This window comes from Homo sapiens, chromosome 5 (genome assembly GCF_000001405.40).
Source record: "Homo sapiens chromosome 5, GRCh38.p14 Primary Assembly".
NCBI classification, from domain to species: Eukaryota; Metazoa; Chordata; class Mammalia; order Primates; family Hominidae; genus Homo; species Homo sapiens.
The window spans coordinates 90,760,670-90,774,793 of NC_000005.10; the positions used below are offsets into that span (position 1 = coordinate 90,760,670).

At 38.0% G+C, this 14,124-nt stretch overlaps 1 protein-coding gene across 14 annotated transcripts in view; it reads left to right on the top strand.

The window, feature by feature from the left end:
• The window catches only part of ADGRV1 (adhesion G protein-coupled receptor V1), a 605,641-nt gene that overhangs the window by 201,873 nt on the left and 389,644 nt on the right, over positions 1-14,124 (top strand). For all 14 annotated transcript variants that reach the window (NR_003149.2, XM_017009963.3, XM_017009969.3 and 11 more), the window contains 2 exons: positions 2,636-2,800; positions 13,517-13,634. Coding sequence is in view for 13 of the 14 variants with exons in the window: in XM_017009963.3 (XP_016865452.1) it covers positions 2,636-2,800; positions 13,517-13,634 (283 nt within the window). In the remaining variant the exon portion in view is untranslated. The remainder of the gene's footprint in view (positions 1-2,635; positions 2,801-13,516; positions 13,635-14,124) is intronic.

The window sequence follows — 14,124 nt, forward strand, 5'->3', positions numbered from 1 at the left end:
CCCAGCTCATGTATTTCTCTATATTTCTTCTCTCTTACTTCTCATTGGCTGTTTACTTCCAAGACTTGAAAGAAGGAACCCAATTATTATTGATTCAGCCACAAAGAGAGAGAGAGAAAAAAAGGCTAATTAATCATGAAAACTAAGTATTTGTGCAGCCATATTTGGTACCTAGTACTAAATTATCACTACATCTTAAGTATAAAACACTATAAATTCCATCATAATTGTTATTACATGATAACTATGACATAATATTATGACCTTACCTTTCAAAAGAAATTCCAAGGTATGAATTAGCCATAAAAATATTTAGATAATCCCCATATACTCAGCAACTTTTCCGGCCCCATATGTCACCATTCCCTTCATTTAATCACTTATAGGTTGTCAGTAATTCACATAGATCACTTTTAATTAATAAACCAATTGCTGAAATGCCCATTGTCTACTGTCCTGTGGATGGAAGGCTAGACTGACAGCTTGCCTGCAAGGGCTGGACTTCCTGATGCTCCAAAATTGAAATATAACAAATAAGGATTTGGCTATTGAATTTCAATTTCATAAGAAAATGGGACCTGTAAGAGGGAGAGAACAAACTTTCACTGTAGCCCAATGAGCTCGTCCTTGGAAAAAAAATGGGCAGCTGTGTTTGTAAGGAGTGTTGGATTGGCAAAAGAGTAACTGTGAATATCTCTCAAGCAGCAGAAAATTACACATGAATATGTAATTTATTTTTTATAAAATGTCTCTTAGCTTATAAGTTTAGATTACAAGTTCAGCATTTAGTATTCAAATCTTCAATTGATGAAACTTCACAATAACGTTTTTCATCAAACTTCTGGACTTGGGCACTGGACAGTGTGTTTATAATCTACTTTTACTGTTAGAGAAAATGAAGACCTACACTAGTATTCATAAATAATTTTTGTTCATTTTATTGTAACTGCGGTCATAAACTCTAGTGTTTTAAACCTAGTGTTAAGCACACTTGTTCTGGGAAATAATATCGTTACAGCTACAAATTTTCAATTTGTCTTAGAGTCTAAAGGGAAGATTTAGGTTACCCAATTCCTACTGTATTGTTGAATATGTAAAGCATGCGTGCTTGAGCTTTAATTCATTAGATGTCCATGGCTATTTTGATTGTTGATGATAATAGTAGCTGCATGATGCTCAGCCCTTTGTGACTTTTTTCCTTGCTTATATCCTGTCTTTCCTATCACAAAAGTTTCTTGGTAACATGAAGTTTATCTTTTAACCTTAATAAGATATACAATATTGTGCACACAATAAACATTCTGTTAGCATTATTCGGTGACACAGATTAGATTCACAGCTGAGGTACATTGAGAAAAGACTGTTAGTATAAATCCATCAAAATTAACAAGCTGTTCACAAGGGCAATGTGGTTAAGTATACCAAAGCCCTGAGAATAGCAGAGACCCATGGAAATCTACTTGTGAAACCTAAACTAAAATGTTACATCTATGGAATCAAAGAAGACTTATATAATGGATTTTCTCTATTTTTTTCTTACTAAATTTCACTGGTCCCTGAGGAGTGGTATGAACAGTTTGGAGTCAAAATACCCTAATTAGACTCCAGGCTCCTCATCTCCAGATATATGTATATATCTGGCCCTCAGATTTCTATGAGTTTCTATGAGGCTTAAATAAGATAAGGTATATGTAAGAACTGACACACAATAGAAGCTCATTTCAGTTTGTTTTAAATCTGTGCTGTTGACATCAATGCAAATCTCATGAAGAAAACAAAACAAGATTGTATTGCATGTTAAGCTTCTATCCGTGTTGAAAGTGGAAAGCATTGTGTTATATTTTCTGTTTGTATAGCGGATGGATGATATAGGTTCAATGAGAACTTTGCTTCACAGAGTCAACATATGTACTTCACTTATACTAGATCTGTTAATAAGGACTTGTATGCAAAATAAATAGTTCTGGTAAATCAATGTATTGAATCTCCTCTCTTTATCTCAGATTAATAAAAACCACTTTTAAATTTTGACTCGCTAAAGTAGGTACACCATAATTCAGAGGACAGTTTAGGTCTGTATTATGTGAGGAGCCTGATTGTAGTAACAAAGATCCCGCCAAGTCTCAGTTTCTTCATATGGTAAATGTGCATTTCTTCTTCACGCAGGAATCCTGCACCAGCGTGCCCAGTTGGCTGATGCTTATGGACACCTCTTATTCAGCTGGCAGCTCTCAGGCCCTAGACTCTGTCCATCTTGGGGTTATGTCCTCTTCTAGGTCCTGGGCCTCCTCTCTATTCACCTGCCAAATGGAAAAGTAGAGGATGTGGGGTCTTGTGTGGGTGTTTATGGCAAGAGTATTAGCAGCATAAATCATTTCTGCCTCTATTCTCTGGGTCAGAATTCAGTCACATGCTCTACCTAATTGCAAGAGAAGACAGGAAATGCCAACTAGTTGAGCATCTAGGAATAGAAAGTGGGATTTGGTAAAAAAAATTTTTCTGCCACATGATAATTACATGTAACATTCTAAATTATAAAACTGCAGTCATTGTAAACAGAAATAAGATTCTACTTGTTTATCCTGCTCTTTTTGTTTTTTTTTTTGTTTGGCCTTACTGAATTTTCTTCTTTCAGGTAATGATTGATGAATCCCTTTCATCCGATGACCCTGATTCATATGTGACATTGACGGTTGTCCGGTCCCCAGGAGGAAAAGGAACCGTCCGACTTGAGTGGACCATAGATGAGAAGGCTAAACATAACCTTAGTCCTTTGAATGGGACCCTTCATTTTGATGAGGTATAGTCAGCATTAGCACTCCTGTAATTTTTCCCCAATTTGTCTTTGATTTTCTTTTTCCTTTTTATTGTAAATTCAGGGAGCACATGTGCAGGTTTGTTACATGGGTATATTGCATAATGCTGGGGTTTGGGCTTCTAGTGAGCCCATAACCCAAATAGTGAATATAGTACCCAATAGGTAGTTTTTCAACCCACACCCCACTCCTACCCTGCTGCCTCAAGTAGTCCCCAGTGTCTGTTGTTTCCATCTTTATGTCCATGTGTATCCATTGTCTGGCTCCTACTTATAAGTGAGAACACATGGTATTTGATTTTCTGTTTCTGCATTAATTCACTTAGGATAATGGCTCCTAATTGCATCTATGTTGCTTCAAAGGACATGATTTAATTATTTTATATGACTGTGTAGTATTCCATGGTGTATATCTATAACATTTTCTTTATCCAGTTCACTGTTGATGGACACTAAAGTTGATTCCATACCCTTCCTATTGGGAATAGGTTGACTGATGTCTGATGTTGAGTGGAAGCACCTGCCCTGGTGTGGGCTGCAGGGAGGGAAGGATGGTAAAAAGCGATCATGTTGGAATGTATTGGGGTCTCTTGGGGAGTGATAAGGGGGTGTACCAACTTCTAGTCCTGAGCCAGCAGGAATGAAGTTTGCTTCCCTCTCGTGCCCGTGTTGCAGGACTCATGACTCAATTCATAAAGACTTTGTCCTTTGGCTCTGCAGTGCAGCTGCAGGCCACAGATATGCCCCTCTAGGAGCTGTTACCAAAATGGGCTCAGGGCAAGGCCTCTTCCCCAACTCCAGGGCAAGCAACTTCACAACTTGTCTGTCCGCCATTGCTGGGACACTGCTGCTCTGTCTAAAGGCGGGGAGTTGGGCCCTGTTCTTCCTGTAAGCCCAAGTGGCACAAGCTTACTTTCAGCAGGGATTGAGCCACTGAAAAAAGCACACACAAAAAATGCTTTCTTTGTGTGTATGCACTAAGTACCAGTGGGAAGAACCACAGCTGTGTCTGCAACAGTCTAGAGTGGGAGATGACTCCCTCTCTACGACTGTCCCTAGGCATTGGTGCTGCCCCCTTCAGTGACTGGCCCCATGCCTGCATTTCCTTTGTCCCAAGGGGACTTTGATGGGCTGTGCTCCCCCTCCCTTATGGGCAGCCTACACTGTGGGTTTAGATCTTCAGAAGTCCTTTAGCCCCCTGGGACCCACCTGTCCCCCATGCTTCCCAACGTCAGAGCCAGTTGTGGGGTATATTTGCAGGAGATCTGGTGGTACAGTGACTCTAGAGCAGAGAGATCTCAGGCAGGGCAGTGGCACTATGGGTACACAACCAGTATGGCACCCTCCATCTCATTTTGGGTCTGAGGGAAACATAGGTGTGCCTGCACAAGCTAGCAACCTGGTTCTCTGTCCCTGGGAAGTTCCTGAATAGCCACTTATAGCATTGTCTTGGGTCACTAGCACAGAGGGGCTCCTTAGAAGCTTGGCAGTCAGGAGATTGTCAGAGGAGTGAGGGGAGGAGAGAAGCACTCCCACCTACTTTCCATGGGGCTCCAAGCTCCTTGGGGGTCAATCTCTGTGGACTCTTGCTGCTTCCCTTTTCTACACCCTGCTTCTTCCCACTGGCCCTCTGACAGATCCTGGCTCTCTTCCCCCAGTTTTCTGTTCAGAACTGGGCCTTTCACCAGTAACTTTGATCATCTTCCTGAGGAGAACTGGCACCTGATGTCCCTAGAGAGCCATCTGCTCGAGGCACTGGGCACTGTGCACTGTGCTGTCACTGCTGAGGGGAATGGTGACTGTAGTCACCCTGTGTGGCCACACCTCGAGAGCTGTCTTTGATTTTCTTTTGCATAGTATTACTTGTAAATTCATGTGATAATATTTACTATGTCTGGGATTTTTTTGGAAATCCATATGCATGATGGGGGGAAAAATCACAGACCACACACACACACACACACACACACACACACACACACACACAAACTCTAGATATCTGAAATCAAATTTTTTTTGAAGTTTTTATTGCTACATAATTGATATACGTATTTTCAGAGTACATGTGATAATTTGATGCATTCATATAATCAAATCAGAGTAATTGAGATATCCATCACCTTAAATATTTTTTCTTTATGGTAGGAACAGTCTAATTATTCTGCAGCTGTTTTGAAATGTACAATAGATTATTGTTACCTATGTCAAATTCTTTTTTTTTGTTTGTTTGTTTTTGGAGACAAGGGGTCTTATTCTGTCACCCAGGCAGTAATGCAGTGATGCGATCATAGCTCACTGAAGCTTCGACCTCCCGGCTCAAGCAACATTTCCACCTTAGCCTCATGAGTAACTGGGACTACAGGCATGTGCCACCATGCCTGGCTGTTTTTTTTTTTAATTTTTTAAAAATTTATTTTATTTTATTTTAATTAATTAGTTTTTTGAGACAGAGTCTTGCTCTGTCACCCAGGCTGGAGTGCAGTGGCGCGATCTCTGCTCACTGCAAGCTCCACCTCCCGGGTTTACGCCATTCTCCTGCCTCAGCCTCCCGAGTAGCTGGGACTACAGGCGCCCGCCACCACACCTGGCTAATTTTTTGTATTTTTTAGTGAGACAGGGTTTCACTGTGTTAGCCAGGATGGTCTTGATCTCCTGACCTCATGATCCGCCCGCCTTGGCCTCCCAAAGTGCTGGGATTACAGGCGTGAGCCACTGTGTCTGATCTATAGTCAAATTTTTAAGTTCAGATTCTGCCCCTGTTTTCCCATCAAAACTACCCCTCTCTCACATTTTTCCTCTTCTGATTGAAGGCAAAGCCAATCAACCACGCTGGATGTCTGGATATCATCCCCAGCTGCACCCTTTCTGTAATCGTTACATGTATTTGGTTACCAAGTCTAGTCAGTTTTCCCTTTAAGTGTGCTTTCTGACTATTCTGACTGTGGAGAACTTCTATACTGACTCAAAATACTGATGGTGTAACATAATAAGACAATGTCAAACTTACAAAAACTTGTAGTTTTTAACATCCATGTACACTTTGAAAAAAAATTAAGGAAGTATTTCAGCCAATCAAAAAACTGAAACACAATAAGTAGTTTGAGAATAACAAGCATATTACAGTCCATCTTTATGTGTCTCAGCCTCCCACAGTGATAAGAAGTGAAGGCGCAAGGTCCTATCTACTTTGAAGGGGGAACATAATCTTTTGGCCCATGGAGTTGGTTTCTGTAACTTGTAAGAATGACTCCCCTTTTCAAAGTTTGGTCGGACATTTACAGATCTGTTTCTTTATGTCTTCATCAGCATGAGCCTGAGAACCTTGGCTGGAGTATCAACCAACCCACTGTAGGATGCGATTTTTCTGGTTGCCTGTGTGCACTCAAGTTTCTTCCTCCTCTTTCCCTTCTTTGGCTAGTTTTAATAATCAAAAGAAGGTGGGGAAGCAGCATATGGGGCCCAGTTAAGCTGAGCACAGAGTTGTTTTTAATGAATAATTCCAACCTAACCACAGGACAGTGGTATTTACCAGTCAAACTCCTAAGTCTTTTTCTGGAAGGGAGGATGGGGAGGTGGAAGAGACAATCTGATTATAAAATATACATGGAAATACAAAATGCCAAGAATAGCCAGCAACTCACAAAGAAGAATATGGAGGGTGGCCCTACTTAGCCAATGTGTCAGATAATACACAGTTAAAGTAAATAAGGCAGTGTGATATTTGCTCTGGGATGAACAAACAGGCCAGAGAGAAGAAAATAGTCCAGATTTGTCAGTCGTTTTATAGTTTTTGCTTTTAGAATCATGTTTGATTCTAAACAGCTTTCTTAATACCTAAACAGCTTTCTTAAATTAATAAAGATGAAACCAGAATGCAATTAATTAAAAAACAAAAATACCAATAAAACCTGATTCATAAATTAAAAAACTTAGAAAATAAGAATTGACGAGAAGGAAATAATTATTAAAAGAGAAAATATTGAAAATTGTAAGAGACTATATAAATGTCGACAAATAAATTTTAAAAACCTATGTGAAATTGGCTCTAGCAGATATACAGCAGATATAGAAAGTCTAAACCTATGCACTTTTGAAAATGAATGGAGAATAAACATTAAAAACATTAAAAGCTCAGTAGGTGGTTTTCCAAAGGAATTCCACCAAATATGTTTACATGGTCCATGTCTTACTTTTTTTTTTTTTTTCAGTCTAATGACTCTTCTTCAGAGCCTTCAACATGAGATAGCACAGAAACGAATACCTTTTTTCCCTTCGGTATTGCAATATGTGATTAAGGAAGTCATCAGTGATGCCCTCTGGCAGTCTATTTGCCATGCACATGTTCTGCCATCATTCTTGAGGTGTGATTACCCTAATGGTATTAAATCTCAATCAAGATGTTGCAGGAATATCATCCGTTTACTTCTCAGCTTCTGACACATGATGACTCATGAAACATCTAGGTTGTGTGCCCTAGCCATGATCTGAAAACCTCTCACCTGAGGAGCATTTAGAATTTAGAAATTAGTTTCAAATGTCTATAAAGATTTTCCTCAGTAATAAGAAGCAATAATTTCCCAGTTACCAGATTCTTACTGCTAGATACACTTCCCAGGTGATTAAAAAGGTTTTCTTGTTTTGAGCATAAAATCTACATTAAAATGGCAAATAGTCTGATCTTTTCTTCCAGCGAATAAGTTCATCCATTTTTAGAGTACTGCATTAGGAGGCATGGGGTTGTTTCTAGATTCCACTCTCTCCATCTGCTTGTTTGGTCATCAGCCTGGTACATTTCATGTACAACTGTGTAACGGCTCCATTGTTTTTATATGTCTAGTTCTGAATATATACAAAGATCTATGTCTCCCACGGGTTCTAATTTGGTTTTGAGGATGTCTTTCATCATCTCTCAGTTCTACTTATGGCTAGTGGTATCCACTCCATCAATAATGCCCAGGTGGAAATCGTTCTCATAGCAACTTAGTATTCACATTGGCAATAAGGAAACCTAGTCTACAGAAGCTGTTATACCTACGGTACATCCCAGGTTGTACCAATACTTACTGTATAATAGTTTCCTGGACTTTCTCAAAATGTAGCAGTGACTGTGGAGTCACCATTGCCCATCTTACAGGGAAATTCTCACAATAATTCTGTTCAGTCCTACCTTGGTAACAGGGCAAAGTCCTTCTTTCCTATTTCTACTTTATGCAGGACAACTAAGCTCCATACTTTGTTTATAGAAACATACAACTCTCCGGAACTGATGAATGGTCTATAGGTGATGAGTCAGGGGGATATTGCACTTTACCTTCCTTGGGGAGAAAATTATGAGGTGGAGATTCGTGTCCAGAGGCTTTTTAGGAAGTGCTCTTGAGGTCAACACCTGTGTAAGTGAAAGAAGCAAGATTGGGCAGGGATGAAGGCAAAGCATGAGGCAGTTGAAACTGATGCTACAGTATACTACAGTTTGTTTTGAAATGGGACTGACCCTTCAGAGCTGTCTGAGTTAGAATGATGGTGAGTTTTATAATCTTGTGTTGAGCAGTCATTGTGTATGGACCATGCCAGGAAGAGCATTTGACCATGTGAGAAGGGGTTGTCTTCAGATGAGACAATTTGCAAAGGAGCCTGTCAGATGAGGGTAATAAGTCCTTTCCAGAAGGGGAATCTTAGTGAACATCAGAGCATCCACCACTGAGATGCAGGGTACAGCCACGTTCAAGAGAAGTTTGTTCTGAAAAGCTCTCCCTCTCTTTCCCTTGGTCTTTTATGATATACCTTATTTTTTCACTGCCCACTTTGACTCTTTGCCTTCTACCCATTCCTGTTTCCTTCCTGCCCCATCCACTGTTGTTGGTCCCAAGAGTACTCCCTATTATGTCTTTCCTCTCTTGTCTTTCTCTTAGCAGAGTAACTTCTAGAAACTTTGTTAAGTATCACTGTAGGCTGGTAAAAATAAAATGGTCCTGGGAAGATAAGAGGAAAGAAATATACAGAGAACAACTATGCCAATACTTTGAGAGAGAATCATGATGCATATCATTTTTATCTCTACCTTTTCCTCTGCATTCTAAAACAACTTGAATTTGTCCTATGCATCACTGATTAAATTTTCTGCAGTTTGAATTCTGTATTTTATTGTTTCTCATGAACATTGTAGTTTTGCAATTGCATTTTTTCTTTGAGATTTTTATTATTAAATAGTATTATTTTAATCTCTTCACTCAAGCTTTTGTTTCTTCATAGTTGCTTATTGTTATTTTTAAAATATATACATTTAAAAAATTTTGTAAGGGCTTCTAGGAAAATATGTGCTCCCTGCCTGAGACCTCATTAGATGTACTTATGAAAAATCTGTAATTCTGGGATGCAGTGCATCATTCCCATTCCTTTTACTCTCTACATATTACGAATTGGAAACTCAGAATTGATATAAAGATGAAAGAGCTGATAACAGTGGGAACACTAAAGCTCTGAGGTAGGTGGCAGCCAGTTATTCTTGGTTAGTGTAGTCTCTGTGGCCTGGAGTTCAAAGAAGTCAGGAAATGGGTCTTACCCCCAGTATTAGTTTGTTCTCACACTGCTAATAAAGACATACTCAAGACTGGGTAATTTATAAAGGAAAGGAGGTTTAATGGACTCACAGTTCCACATGGCTGGAGAGGCCTCACAATTATGGCAGAAGATGAAGGAGGAGCAAAGGCATGTCTTACATGGCCACAGGCAAGAGAGCGTGTGTAGGGGAATGGTCCTTTATAAAACCATCAAATCTTGTGAGTCTTACTCATTATCATGAGAACACCACTGGAAAAAACCCACCCCCATGATTCAACACCTCCCGCCAGGTCCCTCCCATGACGTGGGGATTATGGGAGCTACAATTCAAGATGAGATTTGGGTGGGGACACAGCCAAACCTTAACACCCACTTTGTGGTACTTCTTGTTATTTAGGTTCATGGCGTGGAATGTGTATCCTCTAGTCTACTCCAAACTGATTCCTTCATTAGTGAAATTTTACCTGTATTTTAGAAAGATTTTAATCTTTAGTTTCTTTCTTTCTGTTAGTCTTGGCCCTTTATGGTGTCTACATGTGCATTTGAAGAAGGCACAACTCATGCAACCAGTCTCTGCCAGTTTAACTCAGAAGTCTCTTTCCTACATCTTTGTTTTAATTTGCTGTAAAAATATATGTGCTCATGGAAAACAAACAAACAAACAAACAAACAAAAACAAAAAAACCTCAGTCAGTACAGAAGGATGTAGAAAAATGAGTAAAATTCCCCTGACTCCTTCTGAATCTTATATTCCTACTTCCCAGAGGTAACCGCTATTGACAGTTTTTTATATACCCTTTGAAAAATTTTTATGCGTATCCAAACATATGTGTCTTATTCTTACACAAATGGAATTTTACACTGCAATCTGTTCAGTAACTTGCTCTTTTTACTTTATAATCTATCTTAAACATTTCTTTTTCATACTAGCTAAAATCCATTGCACTAAAAAAATTGGTTACATATTTTTCATTGCATAGATTCCCCTTAGTATTTGATACTATTGACATTTCTTCATGAGCACTGTTTTACTGTGGTGTTTATAGTTCTCTTACATTTTTTATATCTTTCTGGGATTCACATTTCTTGTTTAGTATTTAGTTCTGTCTAGTTCTCCTTTCCCAAATGTTTATATACTTTTGCAGACTTCCATCACCTATATTTGTATTATTTTCCTCTCCTTTACTATCTTCGCAATCTTGGTTCTCTTGAGATATGGGAAGTAGCCACTGAAAAGTAAAAAGGATATAGATTTTATAGCCAGCTAGACCTTAATCCAAATCTTCACTCTACTGTTTAATGCCATGTGACTTTAGGAAAATTAATTTCTCTCACATTTGGGTTCTTTGTTGCAAAATGAGGATAATAAGGCTTAATCTAAACAAAGGCTCTGAGTATTGCATGAAATAATGTTTGTGAAGAAACTAACCAATTTACAGACATTTAGAAAGTGTTTTATACAACAACTGTAATTTAGAAACATTTTAATGAAATAGCAGGTTGCTACCTCAACTTAATATCTACATCATAGGATAAAAATTAAAGGCTTTAAATTTTTAAAATTCAACACCTTTTCTACATCATAGAATAAAAAATTAAAGGTTTTAAATTTTTTAAAAACAGGAAAAATTTATATTTCTATTTTCCTGAGATAGCCTATATATAGTACCATTTCTCAAACTGTTGCTCTGCACTGCTATTCAGCAGAATAGAAATAATTGTTCTGAATTTTAAAGAAAGAAAGGGATTCCAGGTTCACATGGACTTGGGAAAACCTTGATTGAGCTAAGTAGGCTCTTTCTATGCAGGATTATTTTTAGACACTTTAATATACTGAATTCCATTTTGAATCTCTAATATTCGGAATTTATTCCCCTATGAAACTTCCCCATCACCTTTTTATCCCAGAACATTTATTACTATCTTTCGTAACCATTGGCTGGGATTTTCCACCTGTAATCACCCTTTTCCCCCCTCTTACTGGTTGTAGATTTCTTTGAGAAATGAAGAGCATATGATATGAAGAGCTGCCTTACATATACAGTAGATAAGGTGGAAGGCAATATAAACATATAAAATATAGTTGATTCTCATGATTCACAGTAGCCAATCCTTATCATTCACAATCCCCTACTTGTGAATTTCCCTACTCACTAAGGTGTATTTGCAACCTCCAAAGTCGATACTTCTGGTGTTTTCATGGTCATTCAGGGACATACAGAAAGTGTTGGAGAATTTGATTCACCTGATTTGTGCATTTCCAGCCGAGGTTGAAGAAGCCAACACCTTGACTTTGTTTCAGCTCTCATGTTGTAAACAAATGTTCTTTTTCCAGTCCATTTATTATCACTTTTTTAAATTTTTGTGCTTTCTGTTGGTGAGTTTTCTGTTTAAATTTGCCCCCAAGTATAGTGCTGAAATATGGCGTTCCTAAGCACAAGAAGGCTGTGATGTACCCTAAGTAGAAAATATGTATGTTAGATGAACTTTATTCAGGTGTGAGTCATAGTGCTTATTAAACATGAGAAATGTATTTGAATGATTCTAAGTTTTTGCCAATATGTACATGTCTGCAAATTACCACAAAAGTGCTCAATATTGATTTTGGGGTTACAAAGTTGGATGAGTAGACAAATGTGCAAATAAGGAATCCAAGAATAGAGGAACCAACTGTATATAAAATCAGTAGCACCTTGGAGAAATTACTGTACATATAAAGAAGTATGTAAAGATGTTTATGGCAATATTATTTGTAATAGTAAATAGCCATTGTCAGATAAATCTTGCAAATAGTATAAAGGCAAACAATGGAATCCCCACAGCAATGAAAATAATACATTGAGTCTGATAGCGGTGGCTCATGCCTGTAATCCCAGCATTTTGGGAAGCCAGAGCCTGGTGGATCATTTGAGGACAGGAGTTTGAGACCAGCCTGGCCAACATGGCAAACCCCCGTCTCTACTAAAAACACAAAAATTAGCTGAGCATGGTTAACGCACACCTGTAATCCTAGCTATTCGGGAGACTGAGGCAGGAGAATAGTTTGAACCTGGGAGGCAGAGGTTGCAGTGAGCTGAGATCGTACCACTGCACTCCAGCCTGGGTGACAGAGTGAGACCCTGTCTCAAAAAAAAAAAAAAAATACATTGAGTCTACATAAGAAAACATGGGTAACCTCAACAGTGTGCATTGAAGGAAAAATTAAGGAGACACAGTGCATTTTAGAGTGAATAATATGATGGGAAGAGTTTTGCAAAGGGAGATCGAAATGGGCTAATAAATGGGTCAAAAAGAATAAATTATAATAAAAGACCATTTGTTGTCCAGTAGAAACAATGCTGTTGACCGAAGTAGGACCAATTCAAACTATGCACCTGAGATCCAAGAAAAAAAATAAGAAAAAATAAAATCATTAACATTCTTATGAGTTACCAGTAATGAGAAACAATGTACTATGAGAAAGAAGTATAAAATACCTAGGAATAGATTCAGCAAGAAACAAGTGGAACTGATATGAGTAAAGATAAAAACAAAATCTTAAAGGTGAAGGTAAAAGAAAACTGAAACATGCATATAAAAGACCAAGGTCTTAGACAGAAAAACTACATTTTCTTGTGAATTAGGCCCTTTACTGCTGCCTTTAGATATTTTTGTTAACTAGAAGCTGCCATTACTAATTTAACATCAGCAAAATATACCATGAATTGGATATCCAGTGTTGATGAACAACGGCTGGCATCTCAGGGCTGTGGTTGCCCCTACAACTGTGATCTAATGTCATTCACACTTTGTTTTCTCCTTTGAATGGAGCTGTTTCTTATAAAGTCTATGACCTTTGTCTGTTTACATCATTGTGTGATCATTTGGCTTTCTTTAAAGATTGGATTTTCAACGGTTAACATTTTTCAGTAAATTTAGGGGTTGTATTCTTTTCCCATTTTCCCCATAAAGAACCTAAGTGGAATTTGTATTCAGAACTGATTTTTGTGGAGTAATTCTTTCTAGCTGCAACTCGTAATTCTAGTGACAAAAAAGACACCCTTAAAAATGATTATGGACATAAACGTTATTCTGCTAATGACAACATTCAAACTTTGGCTTTGGTCAATCTGGAAAATGCACTGTTTCTGTCATTGGATGTAGACTGAGTCCCAGAAGACCATTGTGTTGCACACACTTCAAGACACAGTGTTGGAGGAGGACAGGCGTTTCACCATTCAGCTGATATCAATTGATGAGGTAGAAATATCTCCAGTAAAAGGTAAGAGAAATTCACATTTTTGGAAATTAAAAAGTAAATTCTCAGAAAAAATGTAATAAAAATAACCCGTAGTTACAAAAATGGACAGGGTTAGGTTTCATAATTCCTAAAACATAAAGATACCATTTTCCACATGTATTAAAGGTTAAGAATTTTTTAAATTAAAATTATAATACCCAATCTTGGTAAGGTCATAGGTCAAAGATTTCATACAGCTTAGCTGTGTAATTTTTTTCTAATGAAGATGTTTATTGTAGCAGTGTTTATAAAATGTAAAATAAAATATGTCAGCTTCCTAAATGGTCCAACAGTAGGAGACTAGTTAAATGTGTCAGAATACTAGGCAGCCATTCAACGTGACATAACAGGAAAAACTCTCAATTACATTAAAAATTAAGAACACATAATTACATGGATAATTGTCACGTTAAGAAAACAGGTTTTGCAACAACATGCTAAATGTAATCTGTTTTGTCATGTGCATGTCTTA